General features: G+C 49.4%; 1 protein-coding gene, 1 long non-coding RNA gene and 2 pseudogenes across 9 annotated transcripts in view, besides 2 other annotated features; 3 read left to right on the top strand and 1 right to left on the bottom strand.

Moving 5' to 3' along the window:
* Window positions 1-1,346: 1,346 nt before the first annotated feature.
* On the top strand, window positions 1,347-3,691 carry LOC105370088 (uncharacterized). 2 transcript variants are annotated; one of them, XR_007063536.1, is made up of 3 exons: window positions 1,347-1,697; window positions 1,858-2,169; window positions 3,125-3,691. It is a non-coding gene; the product is annotated as an uncharacterized LOC105370088 (long non-coding RNA). The 2 variants fall into 2 exon arrangements; XR_945573.3 differs by having other exon boundaries at window positions 1,353-1,697; window positions 1,858-2,046.
* RNU6-1017P (RNA, U6 small nuclear 1017, pseudogene) lies at window positions 5,581-5,686 on the top strand (annotated as a pseudogene).
* Window positions 8,696-9,641: an enhancer, noted in NCBI's record as "H3K4me1 hESC enhancer chr12:132295853-132296798 (GRCh37/hg19 assembly coordinates)". NCBI's record gives its function as "activates a minimal SCP1, AML or CMV promoter by ChIP-STARR-seq in naive H9 embryonic stem cells {active_cell/tissue: H9 hESC(naive)}" and the evidence as "EXISTENCE:reporter gene assay evidence [ECO:0000049][PMID:30033119]".
* On the top strand, window positions 19,515-19,634 carry RNA5SP378 (RNA, 5S ribosomal pseudogene 378; annotated as a pseudogene).
* Window positions 19,770-20,619: an enhancer, noted in NCBI's record as "H3K27ac-H3K4me1 hESC enhancer chr12:132284875-132285724 (GRCh37/hg19 assembly coordinates)". NCBI's record gives its function as "activates a minimal SCP1, AML or CMV promoter by ChIP-STARR-seq in primed H9 embryonic stem cells {active_cell/tissue: H9 hESC(primed)}" and the evidence as "EXISTENCE:reporter gene assay evidence [ECO:0000049][PMID:30033119]".
* Window positions 21,211-22,445, bottom strand: part of SFSWAP (splicing factor SWAP) — an 88,649-nt gene continuing 87,414 nt past the window's right edge. For all 7 annotated transcript variants that reach the window (XM_024449125.1, XM_047429327.1, XM_047429328.1 and 4 more), the window contains 2 exons: window positions 21,840-21,912; window positions 21,211-21,526 (listed from right to left, as the gene is read on the bottom strand). In XM_024449125.1, coding sequence (XP_024304893.1) covers window positions 21,461-21,526; window positions 21,840-21,912 — 139 coding nt within the window. In that variant the 3' untranslated portion in view covers window positions 21,211-21,460. The remainder of the gene's footprint in view (window positions 21,527-21,839; window positions 21,913-22,445) is intronic.

Below are 22,445 nucleotides of genomic sequence, written 5' to 3'. Positions count from 1 at the left end.
CCCTGTGTTTCCCAGGCTGGTCTTAAACTCCTGGGCTCAAGGGAGCCTGCTGCCTTGGCCTCCCAAAATGTTGGGATTACAGGTGTGAGTCACTGCACCCAGGCAATTGTTTTTTTTTGAGACAGGGGACTCCGTTGTCCAGGCTGGAGTGCAGTGGCGTAATCATAGCTCACTGCGGCCTCCACCTCTCAGGCTCAAGCAATCCTCCCACCACCATCTCACAAGTAGCTAGGACCACAGGTGTGCACCCCCAGACCCAGCTAATTTTTAAGGTTTTTTTGGCAGAGGCAGGGGTCTCACTATGTTGCTCAGGCTGGTCGTGAACTCCTGACCTCAAAAGATCCTCTTGCCTCAGCCTTCCAACGCACTGGGATTACAGGTGTGAGACACTGTGCTTGGCTATATTTCCCCCTTTGATCAAGATCTTTCTCAGGCAGCCAGATGTGGTGGCTCACGCCTGTAATCTCAGCACTTTGGGAGGCCAAGGCGAGTGGATCTCGAGGTCAGGAGTTTGAGACCAGCCTGGCCAACATGGTGAAACCTCATCTCTACTAAAACTACAAAAATTGGCCAGGCATAGTGGTGCGCGCCTGTGGTCCCAGCTACTCGGGAGGCTGAGGCAGGAGAATCGCTTGAATCTGGGAGGTAGAGGCTGCAGTGAGTTGAGATTGCGCCACTGCACTCCAGCCTGGGTGACAGAGCGAGACTCTGTCTCAAAAAAAAAAAAAAAAAAAAAAGCCAGGCAAGATGGCTCATGCCTATAATCACAGCACTTTGGGAGGCTGAGGCAAGCAGATCACCTGAGGTCAGGAGTTCGAGACCAGCCTGGCCAAAATGGTGAAACTCTGTCTCTACCGAAAATACAAAAATTAGCTGAGCATGGTGGTGCGCGCCTGCAGTCCCACCTACTTGGGAGTCTGAGGCAGGAGAATCGCTTGAACCCGGGAGGCGGAGCAGAGGTTGCTGTGAGCCGAGATCGCGTCACTGCATTCCAGCCTGGGCAACAAAGTGAGACTCCATTTAAAAAAAAAAAAAATCTTTCTCAGGCATCACTGATCAGTCTTCCTGTACTTAGCTTTTTTGTTTTTTGTTGTTTTTTTGAGACGGAGTCTCACTCTGTCACCTAGGCTGGAGTGCCGTGGCACAATCTCGGCTCACTGCAACCTCCGATCCGCCTCCTGGGTTCAAGCGATTCTCCTGCCTCGGCCTTCTGAGTAGCTGGGATTACAGACGCCCGCCATCACACCCGGCTAAGTTTCGTATTTTCAGTAGAGATGGGGTTTCACCGTGTTGGTCAGGCTGGTCTCAAACTCCCGACCTCAGGTGATCTGCCCGCCTCAGCCTCCCAAAGTGCTGGGATTACAGGCGTGAGCCACTGCACCCGGCCCTGAACTTAGGTTTTGATGTCCCAGGGATGTCCTGGTTGCTGGTCTTTCCCCACACCGGGTGGGGTTACGGTGGGTGGTGACTAGGAGTCAATGTCAAAACCCTTTTAGCCACAGTTGAGCAATAGGGGAGGTTTGGAGGGTGTGGTGCCTGGGCTGAGGCCCCCTGGGGCCCGTTACTGAGTTCAGTTTTGTCTGCTTTGGAGTCTCTTGCTGTCATCTCGACGCGCTGGGCCAGCATGATCCTGCGAGGAGTTGTACTTCAAAATTTAACAAGGAACAAACGCAAAGCTTCAAAAGGGGAAATACAAGGTAAAATTAATAGTAATGTGGCAATCCCAGTTTGCACAGTGGCTTTGTCACGAACCCAGCCGTAAAGGCAACCAAGGGAATAAATCAGATAACCTCACGGTGGGTGAGACCGGCTGCGACCCTGTGGCCTGTTTTCTTATTTTGTGCATGTGGGTCTCAGCTTTCCCAGAGGAGTTTCTCCAGGTGCAGCGTGTGGTGGCAGCAACAGCACAGGCATTTCCTTACTTAACCAGAAGAGACTAAGGGATCTCCTGGGTCAGGTTCTGTGGAGTTCCAGCAGAAGCCGCGGATCGTGGAAGTTCAGCGACACCACCGTCCTGCCCCGTGGGAGAGGTGGGCATTGAGATGGGTAAGAGCGTCATCATGACAGGAGTCCTGTTCGCCGGCGTCTAGGGAAAGCCGTCTACAGCATGAAACGTCCTATTCGCGACCTGGTTTGCAGTTCGAATGTCTCTGACTATGGCATTGGGAGGTACAGTGAACTTTTGTGTGGCCCACACATCAGACGCAAGGCTTCTTTTGGAGAATTCATCTAGTTTTAGCTGATAGGACTTCAGGAACAGAGAAGTTTCCATTTTTAGTAATTCTATGGAAGAAAGTTAGATTCGATGAATCCAGAAGAATGTAGGTGTTATGCGCGTCTGTATAAGAGGCCACCTAAACAGGCTTAGTGTGAGCAACAAGGCTGTTTATTCACTTGGGTGCAAGGGGGCTGAGTCTGAGAAAGGAGTCAGAGGAGGGTGGTGGGCCTATCATTGGTTCTTATAGGTTTGGGATAGGATAGGCGGTGGAGTTAGCAGCAATTTTTTCGGGCAGGGGATGGACGTTACAAAGTACATTCATAAGGGTGGGGAGGGTGTATTGTCACAGGGGCGGGGAGGAATGTTACAAAGTACATTCACAAGGACGGGGAATATCACAAAGTACATTATCACAAGGGTGGGGGAGGACAGGAATTTTTTTTTTTTTTTGACGGAGTCTCTCTCTGTCGCCCAGGCTGGAGTGCAGTGGCGCCATCTCGGCTCACTGCAACCTCCGCCTCCTGGATTCACGCCATTCTCCTGCCTCAGCCTCCTGAGTAGCTGGATTACAGGCGCCCAGCACCACGCCTGGCTAATTTTTTTTTTCTGTATTTTTTTAGTAGAGACAGGGTTTCACCATATTGGCCAGGCTGGTTTCGAACTTATGACCTCACGTGATCCGCCTGCCTTGGCCTCCCAAAGTGCTGGGATTACAGGCGTGAGCCACCACGCCCAGCCAAAAAATATCCTGTCTTACATGTTGTTAGATTCCTTTGGGGGTTCAGTGCTATTTCCACCTAATACAGGTCTGTAGCAATGTCAATGTTCAACCCCATCCTGGGTGGCATGGGATCACTCTTCATGGTTCACACCTTGTAAAAACCATCAGTCGTCATCTTTTTGTAGGTTTGACAAACGCTCTTTCGAATCCAGAAAAGTCAAGTAGAGAAGGAAAGTAAGGGGCCACTTACTGTGCCTCGAATCACAAGACCGCGGTGGACCAGCCTGGTTAAGACCTGTGGATGTCTTCAGCAAGAAACTTGGAGAGGCCCCTAAAGATATCGCCAGAGAGAAAACAAAGAAAGCTTCAGTCGCTCCTTCCTAAGCTGTCACGACTACTCTTTTAAATGGCCCCATGCTTGGATTTCTGTCACCACGACTGGGGGAGCCTGGGCGAGTGTGCTTTCCCTCACTGCACCTCCCATGGGAGCCCAGGCTGCTGCGCCGTCCTCAGACTGTTGGGATGATGAGCGGACGGTGAACTCCCACCACCTGCGCCTGTGAAGGGAGCTCCGGTTGAGGGGCTTTGCTGGCTTCGGGTCGGGGGCTGCCGTAGTTCTGTGTTGGGGAGATGGTGTGGACTGCGGCAGAGCCAAGCCTGAGCCCCACGCCAGGATGAGTGGAGTGCCCGGAAAGCATTCTGATTTCCGGCCTGGCGTGTCTTCCTTCCATTACACTGAAAGTTTTACCCAACAGCTCGTTTAAGTTTTTTTTCTTTTTGAGGTGGGGTCTCGCTCTGTCGCCCAGGTGATCCTCCTACCTCAGCCTCCCAAGGAGCTGGGACTACAGACACACACCACCACATCCTGCTCTTTTTTTTTTTTTTTTAATTTTATAGAGATGGAGTTTTGCCATGTTGTCCAGGCTGGTCTCAAACTCCTGAGTTCAAGCTATCCACCTACCTCAGCCTCACAAAATGCTAGGATTACTGGTGTGAGCCATCATGCCTGGCCAAGTTTTGTTTTGTTTTGTTTCTTTAAATTTTAAATTTAATTTGATTTTTAGAGTTGGGATCTTGCTCTGTGGCCCAGGCTGGTCTCGAATTCTTAGCTTTGAGCCATCCTCCCACCTGGGCCTTCCTAAGCAGTGGAATTACAGTTGTGAGCCACTGTGCCTGACCTCACTGAGGTTTTTATCACAGAATGATAACAAAAGCGCCATGCCCACAGTTTTGTAGGTAGTGAGTGCTGTTGCTAGGACATGCTCCTGGTTAGTTTGGCTTCAGATACTGTATTTTTCCATGTTTCTACAGTGAGCCTGGCCTTGTGTGACTTCTGTGAAATATCCACTTCTCCACCCTCTTTGTTCTCTGCCAGTTGTAATTTCTTGAGTCATTTCGTTTTTGTTGCAGGAAATCAGGTTTTTTTTTTTTTTTTTTTTTTTTTTGATGGAGTCTTGCTCTGTTGCCCAGGCTGGAGTCCAGTGGTGCGATGTCGGCTCACCGCAATCTCCCTCTCCCAGGTTTGAGTGATTCTCCTGCCTCAGCCTCCCAAGTAGCTGGGATCACAGGCACCCGCCACCACACCTGGCTAATTTTTGTATTTTTAGTAGAGACGGGGTTTCACCATGTTGGTCAGGCTGGTCTCAAACTCCTGACCTCAAGTGATCCACCTGCCTTGGCCTCCCAAAGTGCTGGGATTACAGGTGTGGCCACCGCGCCTGGCAGGAAATCAGGTTTAAGGGACTTGCCTGTGAGTGAGTGTGACGGCTGGAGCCTCTCAACAGTGCAGACTGCTGTAAATGAAGACTGTGGAATGGCGAATCTCATTGTTCATCTGGGGCCATCAGACTGATCAGCTGTACATAGTCTATAGGATATTCACATTAATACATTTACATAGATATAACTTTAAAGAAGATTTACTATAACAGCTAAAATTATGACTAATGATATTAGATTTTAAGTTTTATACAATTTTTAAACATTATTTATTTATTTATTTTTTTGAGATGGAGTCTCGCTCTGTCGCTCAGTCTGGAATGCAGTGGCGCAATCTCGGCTCACTGCAACCTCCGCCTCCTGGGTTAAAGTGATTCTCCTGCCTCAGCCTCCTGAATAGCTGGGATTACAGGTGTGCACCACCACGCCTGGCTGATTTTTGTATTTCTAGTAGAGATGGGGTTTCACCATGTTGGCCAGGCTGGTCTTGAACTCCTGACCTCAGGTGATCCACCCACTTCAGCCTCCCAAAATGCTGGAATTACAGGTGTAAGCCACCATGCCCAGCCATGAAACATTTGTATTAATAACATAAATGTAACTGAAAGAATGCCTAATATAATTTATTATTTGATAATGTCTCTCACATAATTTACTAAATAAGCCTAATAATTTAATGCCTCTACAAAATGAGAGATAAGTTTTTAAGGTTCTCCTGGGGCCCAGCTAGAAAATTCCAAAGTTAAGCCTAGGTCAGAAAAACTTAATTTAGAATTTTGTTCTTGGAGAAGCTGCTAAAGATGTCAAAAGGTTTAAAACAATTGAACGAAACGTGATCATAGGTCACTCTGAAATAACAGTCGTTTATTTCACTGAAGTGATAATCAAAAGACTTTGAAAGCAAGACAGAGATAGTTACACAGCACTGGCTGGGGCAGCACAGACACTAAAATTGGAGTGACACAGAGGAGTCAGCAGGGCCCTTGCGCAAGGATGACATACAAATTCGTGAAGACTTCCATATTTTTTAAAATAATATAATTATAAATATTAAAAAATCGTTTGTTGGCCAAGTGCGGTGGCTCACTCCTGTAATCCCAGCACTTTGGGAGGCCAAGGGGGGTGGATCACCTGAGGTCAGGAGTTTGAGACCAGCCTGGGCAACATGGCAAAACCCCATCTTTACCAAAAAATACAAAAATTAGCCGGGTGTGGTGGGGGGGCGCCTGTAATCCCAGCTACTTGGGAGGCTGAGGCAGGAGAGTTGCTTGAACCCAGGAGGCAGAGGTTGCAGTGAGCAGAGATTGTGCCACTCCACTCCAGCTGGGGCAACAGAGCAAGATTCTGTCTCAAAAAAAAAAAAAAAATCACCATTTCAGGGTGTACACTTCCCTGCATTTAGGACATTTACAAGGTTGTGCAGATGCCACCTTGTGACTGTCCTAAACTCCACCACACTCCAGCCTGGGCAATAGAGCCAGACCTTGTCTCAAAGAAAAAAAAAAAGAGTTTTTTTAAAAAGGTTACGTGGATGTAACCTTTTATTTATTTTTGTTCATTTTTTTCCAGACAGGGTCTCAATATGTTGTTGCTCAGGCTAGAATGCAGTGCTGCAGTCTCAGCTCACTGCAACCTCCACCTCTTGGGCTCAAGTGATCCAACCACCTCAGCCTCCCAAGTAGCTGTGCACCACCGCACCTGGCTAATTTTTTGTTTATTTTTTGTAGAGATGGAGTCTCACTATGTTGCCCAGGCTGGTCTCAAACTCCCAGGTTCAAGCAATCCTCCTGCCTCAGCCTCCCAAAGTGCTGGGTTTACAAGTGTGAGTTGCCACACCCACTCGTCTTTCTTACAACAATTACAAAAAATATTGGCTGGAATGCCAAAGCTGTGAGTTTTATCTCAACCCCATTAGAAAAGTCAGCAGATTCAAAGTAAGCAGAAAAAAAAAAAATAGAGAACTTAGAAGGCTCTCCACATTAGCCCTATAGTTGAAGGCTTGTTTTTTGAAGAGACTGTTTGAATAATGATAATTTGAGCTCTTAATTTTTCTTGATGTAATTTGTCCACCAGTTAAAAAAATATGCATGAGAATGGGCTATAATATGTAGGTGTCGGGAGTCCCAGAAAACTTGGCATGTCTTCATATTTAAGAATCCCATTCCGTTTCTTATTAATATCTTTAGAGCAAAGAAAATTCTGTAAATCCTGTCAGAGAATGTTTGGAGTTTGACCAATGTTTTAGATGGTGGTGACTGGCCCAGCAGCTTTAAAAAAGTTTTTTCTTTGTATCTTCTAGTATGTATTTTTTCCAGTTATGAATTCAACGTGGAACCCAGTTGTTTTTAATTAGCCACCCTGTGCCCACCATTTAGAATGTTTATTTTTGTTCTTGGAAGATTTTTAGAAACAAAGAAGGGAAAATGGCCAAATCATGCATTTAACCAAACTATAATCAGGATTTGCAAAAAATTTTGACCCAGGCATGTAGATCAAATGAAATATTCAGCTAGGAGCAGTGACCAAAAGTGAATTTACCAGAGAAGACCTCGCACCTCGCACCTGGCACCTCGCATCTCGCAGATGGAATCTGAGTTCTCTAGAAACCAAAAAGACACTTGTCTTTCTTTTTTGATCCTAGGAGGAATGTAAGGGCGTTTATTAAGGCAATCTTATAACCAAACCAAATCTGGAATACAGTGGAGAGCTTCTACCTAAAAAGAGGGAGGCCTGGCCTGAGAGAAGATTCAGCAGGGCAGAAAAGGCAAGAGGCAGAAGTGAAGAGCTCAGGTGGGAATCGCCAGTTCTGAGAGCCACGGCTTCCTTCCAACAGTGACCGCTTTTCAGGTCCCACTTCTGACACCATTTATCTCAACGGAAATATCCGGGAGAGGCTCTTTAAAAGAAAACTGAGATGGAGTTTCACTCTTGTTGCCCAGGCTGGAGCGTAGTGGCACGATCTCAGCTCACTGCAACCTCTGCCTCCCAGGTTCAAGCCATTCTCCTGCCTCAGCCTCCTGAGTAACTGGGATTACAGGCATGTGTCACCATGCCTGGCTAATTTTTTTTAGTAGAAATGGGGTTTCATTATGTTGACCAGGCTGGTCTTGAACTCCTGATCTCAGGTGATCCACCCACCTTGGCCTCCCAGAGTGCTGGGATTACAGGTGTGAGCCACTGCGCCCGGCATGAAAATGATATTTATTTGGGAATGGGGAATTTCAGTGGGAATACATGTGCCATAGTGAACTATGTGCATTATTGGGGCTGGGGGCTGGGGGTGAAGGAAGATGAAGCCTTTACAGAACGAATGAGGAAGATGACATAATTGTTTTGAGATAATTATCTTTGGCGGGCCGGGCACGGTGGCTCATGCCTGTAATCCCAGCTCTTTGGAAGGCCGAGGCGGGTGGATCACCTGAAGTCGGGAGTTCGAGACCAGCCTGACCAACATGGAGAAACCCCGTCTCTACTAAAAAATACAAAATTAGCCAGGTGTGGTGGTGCGTGCCTGTAATCCCAGCTACTTGGGAGGCAGAGGCAGGAGAATCGCTTGAACCCAGGAGGCAGAGGTTTTGATGAGCCAAGATTGCAGCATTGCACTCCAGCCTGGGCAACAACAGAGAAAATACGTCTCAAAAAAAAAAAAATTATCTTTGGCTACAAAGATCAATAATAAAGGCAATGCCAGTCCAAGGTTAGACAGGCAATTGCTGGGTAGATATTTTCACAATAGTTTTGTGTAAGGTTTCAATGGCCTTTGTGCAAGGTTGTGTTTTTTGCGCTTTTATTTTTTCATTTTTTTCTTTTTTTTCATGAATCCATCTCAGTCCATTTTTGCAGTCTTTTCTGATAGTTTTTGTTTTCAGGCATTTATGCACGACAGCCTTTCTCTTCATGGCCTTCCTGAGGCCTATTTGCCAGAGTGTTTGGTTTTATTTGTTTTTTTAAAACAGAAGTGATTCTGACAACTTTCACAAAATCAAGATCTCGGCACTAGGTGTGTTCGTTGCTGCTTGGGCCTCACTGGTCAGCTGAAAGAAATGTGTGTGTACTAAGCCCTGCACATACTCATACACAGATATTTTCCTATGCAACCACCTGTAGCTATGTTCAGCTGCACGTGAGTTCACACTGACGTCTCCAGCCCTCCTCCATCACCACATGGACCATGCTAACCTCTCCCCTTGCTTATCCGTCACCCTGGGAGTCTCTTTGTCCCTCTCTCTTGCTCTCCCTCATCCCAACTGTGGAGCCCAGGAAGCAGCTTCCTGAGTCCCTCTAGGGCCTCCCGCTGCTCTGTGCACTCTTGCCCAGGCCCCCCTTGCTGTGGACTTGACTCGGGCCTCTCTGCTTCCAGCCTCCCCACCCTACTCTCCCCAAAGCACATTCTGAGAGCTCTCTGAAGCACACGCAGGCCTGAGGCTGAGCCCTCTTTTGCGTCCCTTTCTTCCCAGGATACTGCTTGGGGAAAGGACGTGCTCGGGACCCATCTGTCAGCTGAATGGAGGCCGGGTGGTGCCCGGCTGGCACCCAGAGGGCACTTCATCCGCATGCATGCTGAGCCCCTACGGGGTGCCAGGCTCTCTGCTGTCCTGGAAGCTGGGGCCAATCTCCGAAGAGAACAGAGCTGCCACCCTCCAGAAGCTGGTGGGTCCTGGGTGGTGGTGGCCGAAAGGGACACTGGTTACTGCAAGCTTGTTTCTGCTTTTGCACTTTTTTTTTTTTTTTGAGATGGAGTCTCACTCTGTTGCCCAGGCTGGAGTGCAGTGGTGCAGTGTCGGCTCACCGCCACCTCCGCCTCCCGGGTTCAAGTGATTCTCCTGCCTCAGCCTCCCAAGTAGCTGGGATTACAGCCGCCCGACACTATGCCTGGCTAATTTTTGTATTTTTAGTAGAGACAGGGTTTCACTATGTTGGCCGGGCTGGCCTCGAACTCCTGACCTCAGGTGATTCACCTGCCTTGGCCTCCCAAAATGCTGGGATTACAGGTGTGAGCCACCGCGCCCGGCCGCACAATTTTTCAAGAGCTGGCAGGACCTGCTGTACTAGAAAAGAAACCTGGGTTATTTCCAGGTTAGTAGGGGCATCAGCTGGCCTTGTTTCCACGGTCGTCTCGCAACCCACGGCAGAATCCGTCCAAGGGGAAGACAGAGGTGGCTCAGCTCTGCAGAGTTTGAGATCTGAATCAACGGAAAATCGTCTAAAGTGCTTTCTCAAACTCTTTTTCAACATTTCACTTTCATGTTTCCCTAAGCTGCCCCCGCTGAATAGCTAATGAACTTGTAATTAAAGCAACTTTTCACATGGTGAAAAGCCGCATTCCACCACCCGCTCGGGCTCTCAGTCCGGGGCTGGAACCCAGCCTGGCGCAGCAGGTGTGCAATCCCTGACGCTGGTGTTTATGGAGTGGGTAGAATGGCTGGCCCTCCAGGACACCGCCCCTGTGCACCTTCTTGTGGGAACACCTTCTTGGGGGCTGACCTGGCCCCACGAGGTACACCAGGGTGCTGGCTGCTTTCAGCCAGGGGAAGAGCGGCCGTATTGTGCTCAGTGAAAGCCCAATTCCCTGCAATTTGGATTCTGAAAGGAGTTGAACAGCATGGTACTGGTACCAAAACAGAGATATAGATCAATGGAACAGAACAGAGCCCTCAGAAATAACGCCGCATATCTACAACTATCTGATCTTTGACAAACCTGAGAAAAACAAGCAATGGGGAAAGGATTCCCTATTTAATAAATGGTGCTGGGAAAACTGGCTAGCCATATGTAGAAAGCTGAAACTGGATCCCTTCCTTACACCTTATACAAAAATCAATTCAAGATGGATTAAAGACTTAAACGTTAGACCTAAAACCATAAAAACCCTAGAAGAAAACCTAGGCAATACCATTCAGGACATAGGCATGGGCAAGGACTTCATGTCTAAAACACCAAAAGCAATGGCAACAAAAGCCAAAATTGACAAATGGGATCTAATTAAACTAAAGAGCTTCTGCACAGCAAAAGAAACTACCATCAGAGTGAACAGGCAACCTACAGAATGGGAGAAAATTTTCACAACCTACTCATCTGACAAAGGGCTAATATCCAGAATCTACGATGAACTCAAACAAATTTACAAGAAAAAAACAAACAACCCCATCAAAAAGTGGGCGAAGGACATGAACAGACACTTCTCAAAAGAAGACATTTATGCAGCCAAAACACACATGAAAAAATGCTCACCATCACTGGCCATCAGAGAAATGCAAATCAAAACCACAGTGAGATACCATCTCACGCCAGTTAGAATGGCAATCATTAAAAAGTCAGGAAACAACAGGTGCTGGAGAGGATGTGGAGAAATAGGAACACTTTGACACTGTTGGTGGGACTGTAAACTAGTTCAACCATTGTGGAAGTCAGTGTGGCGATTCCTCAAGGATCTAGAACTAGAAATACCATTTGACCCAGCCATCCCATTACTGGGTATATACCCAAAGGACTATAAATCATGCTGCTATAAAGACACATGCACGCGTATGTTTATTGTGGCATTATTTACAATAGCAAAGACTTGGAACCAACCCAAATGTCCAACAATGATAGACTGGATTAAGGAAATGTGGCACACATACACCATGGAATACTATGCAGCCATAAAAAATGATGAGTTCATGTCCTTTGTAGGGACATGGATGAAATTGGAAACCATCATTCTCAGCAAACTATCGCAAGGACAGAAAAACAACCACCGCATGTTCTCACTCATAGATGGGAATTGAACAATGAGAACACATGGACACAGGAAGGGGAACATCACACACCGGGGCCTGTTGTGGGGTGGGGGGAGGGGGAGGGATAGCATTGGGAGATATACCTAATGCTAGATGATGAGTTAGTGGGTGCATCACAGCAGCATGGCACATGTATACATATGTAACTAACCTGCACGTTGTGCACATGTCCCCTGAAACTTAAAGTATAATAATTAAAAAAAAAGAAAAGAAAAAAGGCGGAGGCAGCCTGGGCCCCGTGCCGCACCTGTGCTGGGATGGGCGTCGACGCGTCCCTCCTGCCCTGGGACCCTCTGGAGCGGCCGGGGCCCCAGCCCTCCCTGCCCTCCAGGGAACCGCCCGCTGCCTGGCGGTGATTCCCGTGGTTAAGGCAGGAGAACTGGCTTCTGCTGCTCACGGGAAAGGGGCCTAACGCAGCGTTCAGATCTCCAGTCAAAACGCAGCAGCGCCGAGGCTCTGGCCGAACAACGCGGGAGGCGAAAGCAACTGGGAGGCGCCTGGTTCTCCGGGCAGCTCCCGGCAGCTGAGGAAACGGAGGCGGAAGAGGCCCGGGCGGGGAGCGCAGCTCAGGGCGGGTCGTCCCCCGCCTGCCTCACACCCCGCCCGCACGGCCTTCTGTTCCTTCTGTTCCTTCTGTTCCTTCTGCTTCCGGGTCCCAGCGGGGCGCAAGCTTCACCCCGAGAGGGTTCTGTCTGGGTTGAGTAAGGTTTCTAAGACGCCAAGCGGAAACAGTTCAAAGATCTAATGCAAATGTCTCTCTCTTTTTTTTCTTTTTGACACAGGGTCTCACTCTCACCCAGGCTGGAGTGCAGGGGCGCGATCTCGGCTCACTGCAAGCTCCGCCTCCCGGGTTCAAGAGATTCTCCCACCTCAGCCTCCCAAGTAGCTGGGACTACAGGCGCCCGCCACCACGCCCAGCTAACTTTTTGTGTTTTAGTAGAGACGGGGTTTCACCATGTTGGCCAGGCTGGTCTTGAACTCCTGACCTCAGGCGATCCATCCGCCTCGGCCTCCCAAAGTGCTGGGATTGCAGGCGTGAGCCACCGCGCCCGGCCACAAATGTCTCTTTAGAAAGTTTATTTAGGGCCGGGCGCGGTGGCTCACGCCTGTAATCCCAGCACTTTGGGAGGCCGAGGTAGGCGGATTACTTCAGGTCAGGAGTTCGAAAAAAAACAAACTAATTAGCTGGGCGTGGGGTACGTGCCTGTAATCCCAGCTTCTCCGTCTGGAGGCTGAGGCAGGAGAATCGCTGGAACCCAGGAGCCAAGATCGCACCACTGCACTCCAGCCTGGGCAACAGAGTGAGACTCCGTCTCAAAAAAAGAAAGAAAAAAAAAAGTTTAGGTCGAGTTTGGTGGCTCAAGCCTGTAATCCCATCATTTTGAGAGACCGAGGTGAGTGGATCACTTGAGGCCAAGAGTTCGAGACCAGCCTGGCCAACACAGTGAAACCCCCAACTCTACCAAAAAATACAAAAATTAGTGGGGCGTGGTGGTGCATGTCTGTAGTCCCAGCTACTCAGGAGGCTGAGGCAGGAGAATTGCTTGAACCTGGGAGGTGGAGGGTGCAGTGAGCCAAGATCGCACCACTGCACTCCAGCCTGGGTGACGTAGTGAGAACTTGTCTCAGAAAAAAAAAAATTAACAACAGCTTTATTGATATAATCTACATACTATACAATTCAACCATTTAAAGTGTACAACTAAATGTTTTTCAGGGGCCTGGTGTGGTAGCTCACACCTGTAATCCCAGCACTTTGGGAGGCTAAGGTGAGCAGATCACCTGAGGTCAGGAGTTTCAGACCAGCCTGGCCAACATGGTGAAACCCCGTCTCTACTAAAAATACAAAAATTAGGCTGGGAGAGGTGGCTCACACCTGTAATCCCAGCACTTTGGGAGGCCGAGGCAGACAGATCATGCAGTCAGGAGTTCGAGACCAGCCTGACCAACATGGCGAAACCCTGTCTCTACTAAAAATACAAAAATTAGCCGGGGGTGGCATGGCCTGTAATCCCAGCTACTCAGGAGGCTGAGGCAGGGGAATCGCTTGAACCCAGGAGGCGGAGGTTGCAGTGAGTCGAGATTGTGCCACTGCACTCCAGCCTGGGCAACAGATGGAGACGCCATCTCAAAAAAACAAAAAAAAGCAAAAAACAAAAATTAGCTTGGCGTGGTGGCGGGCACCTGTAATCCCAGCTACTCAGGGGGCTGAGGCAGGAGAATTGCTCCAACCCAGGAGGTGGAGGTTGTAGTGAGCCAAGATCGCGCCATTGCACTGCAGCCTGGGTGACAAGAGGGAAACTCTGTCTCAAAAAAAAAAAAAAAAAAAAGGTTTTCAGTGTATTCACAGAATTGTGCAACCATCACCAGCCTGTTTTAGAATATTTTTAGCACTTCAAAAAGAACCTTGCAGCCATCAGCAGTCACTCCTCATTTCTCCCCAATCCCCCCAGCCCTAGGCAACCACTAGTGCTTACGAATGTACCTATTCAGGACATTTCACATAAACGGGATCTTAGGTAGATGCTGAGAAGTAGGATTGCCAGGTTGCATGTTCAGCCTTTTGAGGAAAAGCCAGGCTGTTTTCCAAAGCGCTGTACCATTTTACATCCCACCTGCAGTGTAAGAGCGTTCCAATTTCTCCAACACCCCTGACTCTTGCCAACACCTGTGCTGTCTGCTTGATTACAGCCGTCCTAACGGGTGTGTGGTGACGCCTCACTGTGGTTTGCATTGCCCTTCCCTGATGGCTAATGGTGTTGAGCCTCTTTTCCTGTGCTGATTGGCACCTGTATATGTTATGTGGAGGAATGTCTATTCAGATCTTTTGACCATTTTTTAATCGCGTTATTTTCTTTTTATTACTGAATTGTAAGAGTTCCTTACATATGCTAGATACGAATCCCTTACCAGATACGCGATTTGCCGTTTTCCTTCCATTCTGTGAGCTTTTCACTTTGATGTGTCCTTTGATGCACAAAAGTTGTATGTTTTGATCAAGTCCAATCTGTCATTTTTTCTCTCGTTGCTCGTGCTTCTGTGGTCCTGTTGAAGACACCACGGCCACCACGTTTGCAAAGGTTTAGCTTCTAACGGTGGTCCGTAGCTTCCACTCTTACATGTCGGCCTCTGAGCCAGTCTGAGTTCACTTTTGCACATGGTGTGAGGGAAGGATGCAGCTTCGTTCTTTACACGTGGCCACGTGCCTTCCCAGCACCGCTTGTCGGAATCAGCACTTTTTTCTCCCCTGAATTGCCTGGGCTTTCAGTTCTGTCCCATCGGTCAGTTCTGCACGGTCCGGGTCCCTGCGCTGTCCAGTAAGTTTTCCAACTGTGAATTGTGAGTCTTCCAACTTTGTTCTTTTTCATGAGTGTTTTGGCTATTCTGGGTACAAATGCTTTTTTTTTTTGAGACGGAGTCTCGCTCTGTCACCCAGGTTGGAGTGCAATGGTGTGATCTCGGCTCACTGCAACCGCTGCCTCCTGGGTTGAAATGATTCTCCTGCATCAGCCTCCCGAGTAGCTGGGATTACAGGCACGTGCCACCACACCCAGCTCATTTTTATATTTTTAGTAGAGATGGGGTTTCACCATGTTGGCCAGGCTGGTCTCGAACTACAGACCTCAGGTGATCCACCTGCCTTGGCCTCCCAAAGTGCTGGGATTATAGGAGTGAGCTACTGCACCTGGCCAGGTTATACACTTTTAATTTTGAAACAAATTTATTTTAAAAAATTGTGAAAAAAGAATATTTTGTGATATGTAAAAATTCTATGAAATTCAGATCTCAGGGTTCACACATAAAATTGTATTGGAACACAGCCACACCCGCTCATTTACATGTAGTCTCTGGCTGCTTTTATGCAACCGCAGAGTTGAATAACAGAAACTGGATGCTCTGCAAATACTAAGATGTCTACCATCTGGCCTTTGCTGAACGTTTGCTTATGCTAAAGACGTTTGTGCAGATATGAGAAATGACTTAGGTACAAGGTTTTTAGAGTAGTGTTAGAGTAGGATCAGAAACAACCCAAATATGCCCCAGAAGAGAACTGGTGAATCAGCGATGCATCATTTATAAAATGGAATATTACACAGCTATGAAAAGAATGAAGAACTTCCCCAGCCCAGAGGCACCCAGGGAGATAGGACTCGATACAAGGTGGGAACCTGGATGGGATCCTGGGACAAAACGAGGACATTAGGGAAACAAAGGGAATCTGAAGTATGGACTTTCAGTAATAATAATGTATCAATATTGATTAATTCATTATAACAAGTGTACCATCCTAATGTAAGGTGTTGCCAGGCGCGGTGGCTCACGCCTATAATCCCAGCACTTTGGGAGGTCGAGGCGGATGGATCACAAGGTCAGGAGTTCAAGACCAGCCAGGCTAACATAGTGAACCCTGTCGCTACTAAAAATACAAAAATTAGCCGGGCATGGTGGTGGTTGCCTGTAGCCCTAGCTACTTGGGAGGCTGAGGCAGAAGAATCGCTTGAACCCAGGAGGCAGAGGTTGCAGTCAGCCAAGATGGCACCGCCATACTCCAGCCTGGGTGACACAATGAGACTTAAAAAAAAAAAAAATGGTGCTAATACAGTGATATAGTGGAAACTGGGTGCCGGTATATGAGAACTGTGTACCGTCTTCACAATTTTTCTGTAAATCTAAAACTGTTCTTAAAAAAGGTTATTATTCTTTGGGAGGCGAAGGTGGGCAGATCACTTGAGGTCAGGAATTTGAGACCAGCCTGGCCAACACGGTGAAACCCCATCTCTAGAAAAATATAAAAATTAGCCAGGCGTGGTGGCGCGTGCCTGTAGTCCCAGCTACTCAGGAGGCTAAGGCAAGAGAATCGCTTGAACTCAGGAGGCAGAGATTGCAGTGAGCCGAGATCGCACCACTGTACTCCAGCCTGGGCGACAGAGTGAGACTCCATCTCAAAAAAAAAAAAAGTTTATTATTAAAAAAATAGGGAAGTTCTTTATGTTCAGATAAGGAAATGACTCTAAGACATACAGTAACTGCAAAAGCAAGATGAAGCTGGCACAGAATGGAAATGATAACACACTTTCCGTGTATAAAGATGTGTATTGGGGCTGGAGGGGGAGAATATATTTGCATATTTGCTTGTATTTATACAAAGGAACTTGGAAGGATTCACAAGAAATTCCTGTGTAGCCACGTGAGTGAATCACTTATTCAAGCCAAGTAAAACCCCAAATGTTGGCCCTGAGGTGGAAGTTTTCAGCATTCTTAGCGACTCCTCCCACCCAGTGACCTGCCTGGCCTCGTCAGCGCCCCGTTCCCAAGCCCTTTCCCTGCCTAGCCCCCTTCTCACTCACAGCCCCCAGTGCCTGTCTGGTTCCGTGAAGCTGGTGGAGCGACCTGGCCCTCTCAGCTTGCATTAGGGCTCAGATAGCTGAACGATCCAGACACGGGTCACACCCAGGGACACACAGGGCAGTGATCCAAGCCACGCACCAGGAAACATCAAAGCAAATGGCTTCTGACAAAAGCCAGCCTTACTAAACACAGGTGAAGGAGACAATCTTTGGAGAACAATTTTATTAGCACAGTTTAAGAACCTTAGAAATGATACAGTAAAACTACTATAAATCTGTCCTAAAGAAGGAAAGAATATTTTTGTTGTTGTTGTTGTTGAGACAGAGTCTCACTCTATTGCTCAGGCTGGAGTGCAATGGCGCCGTCTCGGCTCACTGCAACCTCTTCCTCCTGGTTCAAGTGATTCTCCCGCCTCAGCTTCCCGAATAGCTGGAATTATAGGTGTGCACCACCATGCCCAGCTAATTTTTGTATTTTTTGGTAGAGATGGGGTTTCACTATGTTGCCCAGGCTGGTCTCGAACTCCTGGCCTCGAACTCCTGGCCTCAAGTGATCCACCCACCTTGGCCTTCCAAAGTGCTGGGATTACAGGCGCGAGCCACCATGCCCGGCCCCAGAAGGAATCTTTTTAAAGGGGAAAAACTCTAGTTTCCCAGCAGCATCCTTGCCGACAGTGAAAGGCAGGAAGCTGTCTAGATGTCCATGGCAGGAGAGTTAGGCCCAGGGAGGGTGGGGTTGCATCTCACATGGGTGAGGGGTCCAGCCAAAGTCACCCTTGGAAATTTCTTCAATCACCAATAAAGTAAGACATTCGGGGTTTAACATAACAGTCCCTAGCGGTGATAAAACTTTTTTTTTTTTTTTTTTTTGAGACTGGAGTTTCATTCTGTCGCACAGGCTGGAGTGCAATGGCGTGATCTCGGCTCACTGCAACTTCTGCCTCCTGGGTTCAAGCAATTCTCCTGCCTCAGCCTCCCGAGTAGCTGGGACTACAGGTGCCCGCCATCATGCCCGGCTAATTTTTGCAATTTAGTAGACAGAGTTTTACCATGTTGCCCAGGCTGGTCTTGAACTCCTGGCTTCAAGCGATCCTCCTGCGTTGGCCTCCCAAAGTGCCGGGATTATAGGCGTGAGCCACTGTGTGCCTGGCCGGTGGTGAGGAATTACTACAGTGTCATACACACAGTCATGTGTCTTGTATACACTATGCAAAGTCTAATTTTACAGTTTTTTTTTTTTTTTGAGACAGGGTCTCACTTTGTTGTCCAGGCTGGAGTGCAGTGGCTCATTCATGGCTCACTGCAGCCTTGACCTCCCAGGCTGAAGCTATCCTCCCACCTCAGCCTCCTGAGTAGGTAGGACTACAGGTGTCACCACGTCTGGCTAATTTTTGTATTTGTTGTAGAGACGGAGTCTTGCTCTGTTGCCCAGGCTGGTCTTGAACTCCTGGCCTCACGTGATCCTCCTGCCTTGGCCGTCCAAGGTGCTGGGATTAAATCACTGTGCCTGACCCAGTATTTTATTTTTAAAGATGGGGTCAGCTAGGCGTGGTGGTGCGCACCTGTAGTCTCAGCTACTCAGGAGGCTGAGGCAGGAGAATCTCTTGAACCCGGGAGGCAGACGTTGTAGTGAGCTGAGATCATGCTACTGCACTCCAGCCTGGGTGACAGAGTGAGACTCCATCTCAAAAAAAACAAAACAAAACAAAACAAAACAAAGATGGGGTCTCCCTTTGTCACCCAAGCGGCAGCACAGTGGCGTGATCACAGCTCACTGCAGTCTCGACCTGCTGGGCTGAAGTGATCCTCCTGCCTCCGTCTCTCAAGTAGCTGGGACCTCAACTGCGTGCACCACACCTGGCTCCAGTATTTAGAGTGCATGTGTGCTGTTGACTTTACCAGGGGGTCTGTGCAGAGTGTGACACCACTGTACTCATTTCCGGGGGACACTGGCCATCATGAATGGCAACTCTGGAGACGAGTGGTTAGAGGGCTGGGTGGGTAGTCTTCGTAGTCTTCCTTGCTCCAGGCACTGATGCCTGCTCCCTTCTACCAGGGAAGTGCCCCAGCCCTTCCAGCACCAACGCACCAAACAAAAACATCACTATATCAGGGCGTGGTAGGTCCCTCAGGATTCCCCGATGTTCCAGACGCTGGCCAAGTCTGTGTTGCCCTCTCCGACGATCCTAGCTGCCGCCGGCATAAACGTCCACTTGGCGGTGCACGGGTAGAACCACGATCCTGCTGACGTCCGGTCCCACGTAACGATCTCCCTGCATCAAGATGCAGATTTCTGGCTCATGATCCCCGACCCTTTACAGTGGAAAACGACCCAGCAAACAAGGAGGGTGTGTAAAACTTGGAGGCGCAAACCTGAGGCAAAGCAAGGTCACCTCTGCACACACAGAGCCCACCTCAGGAGCAGTGCCCAGAAGCCATGGCAAGCACGAACAGCCACGGCAAACACGGGCCACGGCAAAGACGAGCCACGGCAAACATGAGCCACAGCAAACATGAACAGCCACGGCAAACACAGGCCACAGCAAACACGAGCCACGGCAAACACGGGCCACGGCAAACACGAACAGCCACAGCAAACACGGGCCACGGCAAACACGGGCCATGGCAAACACGAGCCACGGCAAACACGAGCCACGGCAAACACGAGCCACGGCAAACACGAGCCACGGCAAACATGAACAGCCACGGCAAACACGGGCCACGGCAAACACGAACAGCCATGCCTGAACGGGCCCGGTTGCATCTGATTGCGGAGGCTAAGCAGGGTTGGGCCTGGTTAGTACTTGGATGGGAGACCAACTGGGAGTATCAGGTGCTCGAGGCTTTTGGCAAAAAAAAAAAAAAAAAAAAAAAGACTACATACGTACAAAAACTTTTCCATGTAAAAAAACCTTCAAGTCAAAACAGCGATGACAAATTGGGGCAAACATTTACAAAATAACTAATACGAGAAGGCTAAGTCCCCTAACATGTAGAGAGTTGTTATGATTGAAAAAGAACTCCATCGCCACACACAGGAATGGACATGGTTGAGTTCACAAAGCAATGGAAACGCATTTTGAAACAGAAGGGAAACTGTGCCATTTGACTCATCACTGAAGAAATGCAATAAAAATCAAGACCTTTCCATCTTTCTGATTTAGCAAAGATAAAAATGTTTGCAGACGCTGCACCAGGAGGATGTGGGCAGCATCTGCCCGAGGACGGTCACCACAGCACTGACCCGGCAGCAAAGGCCACCTGCGACCCGGAGCAGCCACTGGGGAGCCCTGCACTGAACCGCAGTGCGCTGCTGCGGGAGGAAGCCAGTGTCTTCCTGGAGACGGCTTCACGTCCAGGTGCGGAGGGGCCGATGAGCATTTGTGGGATGGATGGCTACTGCAAGCCGTGGGCGGGGGGACCCTGAGTGATGTCATCTCAGAAACCAACGCATCGGGAGATGCATAGAGTGCTACATGAAGTTGGCCACTGGTTGTGAGAGGAACCAGGTATATGGTACCGTGGGGGTGGGGGTGGCAGAGGAGCCTGGCTGTGCAGGGTGCAGGCCACACGACTTTGCCCTCTGCCTCATCCAGGGCCTGTAGCATTTCTGAGTGGTTGTGGGCAGCTGTGGGGCCTGTGCCTGTGTGTGTGCCTGGCCCCACCCACCCACCTGCCCCAGCTTGCCCACCTGCCTCACCCACACTGGCCTTCGCGGGCAGGCAGCGTCTGGACCCCAAGCGCCATAAGGAGGAAAAACCGTAATTCAATTTCTGGGTTTTGGTAAATTGGCAGAACTGACAATGGAACTTGACCTCGGCACAGCAGGCGTTTAAGTGAACGCCAGGGAGTGTCCTTCCTGTGGGGACAAAAGTGTCACTGTGACCTGCCTACAGCAGACAAGCAGCAAATCCTCATTTCTGGTGTAAGGACCTTACGAGCCCCAACTCCAGGTGGCCGGACCCTCAGCTACACACAAATTGTGTTTCCACTGGGGGGCCGAAGCCTGCAGTGGAGTCCCGGGCATCTGCACGTCAGGAAAGGCGCCAGGAGCAAGCAGCCGGCGCTCAAGGCAACATGCGGTGCTCAGCATGGTGAGGCGGGGCTGGGCTGCTCCCCTGCTGTGCACCACTGCCGCAGGGAGGGCCTGTCCGGCAGTTGCAGCATGGGTGCCGGCAGGGACACATGCCCACGGGGAGCTGACGGCCTGGGAAGAAGGGGTGTGCGGTGACCGCAGGAGGCGTGGAGACGGGGAAGGGGAGTCCAGTGGCTGCTGTCGGAGGGCTGGGGGCCCAGGACAGGGAGGCCCAGTGCTGCCCACCTGTCCCTGCCACACCTCCATGACTACACGTGTAACAGATGACAGACGGTCAAACAGACCCAGAAGCCAACCAAGGAGAGAAGGAAGAAACCACGCCAGGGTCTAGCTAGAAAAGGTGTTTCCTCCCATTTTATTTCATAATACATTTTCACAGAAACATGATATATTTACAAATATACAGGTAAGAGACTGCTGGTCAGAAATCTTAAAACTCAAAATGTCATCAAAAATTAATTTACAAAAGCCACCAAGGGTCCATGGAGGCGGCCAGGTGGATGGTGTGGCCGGCGTCTGCGTGAGCCTGCCCAGAAGCCCACGCAGCCTCCCGGCTCTGCCTCCGCTGGCCCCGTCTCAGGAAGCGCTGGTTTGCAGGTTTTTGGAAGCTGCAAGCATCGCTCTGACTTTGGCCATGAGATCCTGTGCAGGGCGAGACACAGAGGAGAACCTGTGAAGACCTGGCCAGACAACCCACGTGGTGAAGAAATTCATCAACGAGTTGGTGGTCAAGACCAGACGGTGCTAGCACCGTGGGGGCGGCGGAGGAGCCTGGCTGTGCAGGGTGCGGGCCACACGGCTTTGCCCTCGGCCTCACCCAGAGCCTGTGGTATTTTGCCCGAGATCCCTGTCCCATGACAGGGACAGGAGGGACAGGGAATGAAAATTAGCAACAGAGAAACCACGAGGCCCCTTGATGAAAGGCTGGGAGCGGGAGGGGGGCGTGCCCACTGACCTGAGTGATTTTGCTCTGCACGGAAGAAACGATTGCTGAAGAGATCTGGGCTTCTTTTTCCTGAGAGACTCCCCTAATGCAGAGAGAGAGAGAGCAGAGCTTACAACCGTGTGAAGATGCTGAGCCAAGGCCAGTGAACAGCATCCCCACCTCCGAACCCCAACTCTAGAACTGAGAAGTGCCCACTGCATCTGCTTCCAGTATCTTTTTTTTTTTTTCCAGACAAGAGTTTCACTCTGTCACCCAGGCTGGAGTGCAATGGCACGTTCTCAGCTCACTGCAACTTCTGCCTCCCAGATTCAAGCAATTCTCCTGCCTCAGCCTCCTGAGTAGCTGGGATTGCAGGCGTGTGCCACCATGCCCGGCTAATTTTTGTATTTTCAGTAGGGACGGGGTTTCACCATATTGGTCAGGGTGGTCTCGAACTCCTGACCTCAGGTGATCCACCCGCCTTGGCCTCCCAAAGTGCTGGGATTATAGGCGTGAGCCGCCGCGCCCACCCCTCCAGTATCCTTCAATAAAACTTGGCATCATAAACATGCTGTGTTATACTCATCTGAAATGTTTACAAATTGCAATCTAACTCAAAAAGATTTTCATATAAAA

Source organism: Homo sapiens, chromosome 12 (genome assembly GCF_000001405.40).
Source record: "Homo sapiens chromosome 12, GRCh38.p14 Primary Assembly".
Classification (NCBI taxonomy): Eukaryota; Metazoa; Chordata; class Mammalia; order Primates; family Hominidae; genus Homo; species Homo sapiens.
This window is presented reverse-complemented; position numbering and strand designations above follow the sequence as displayed.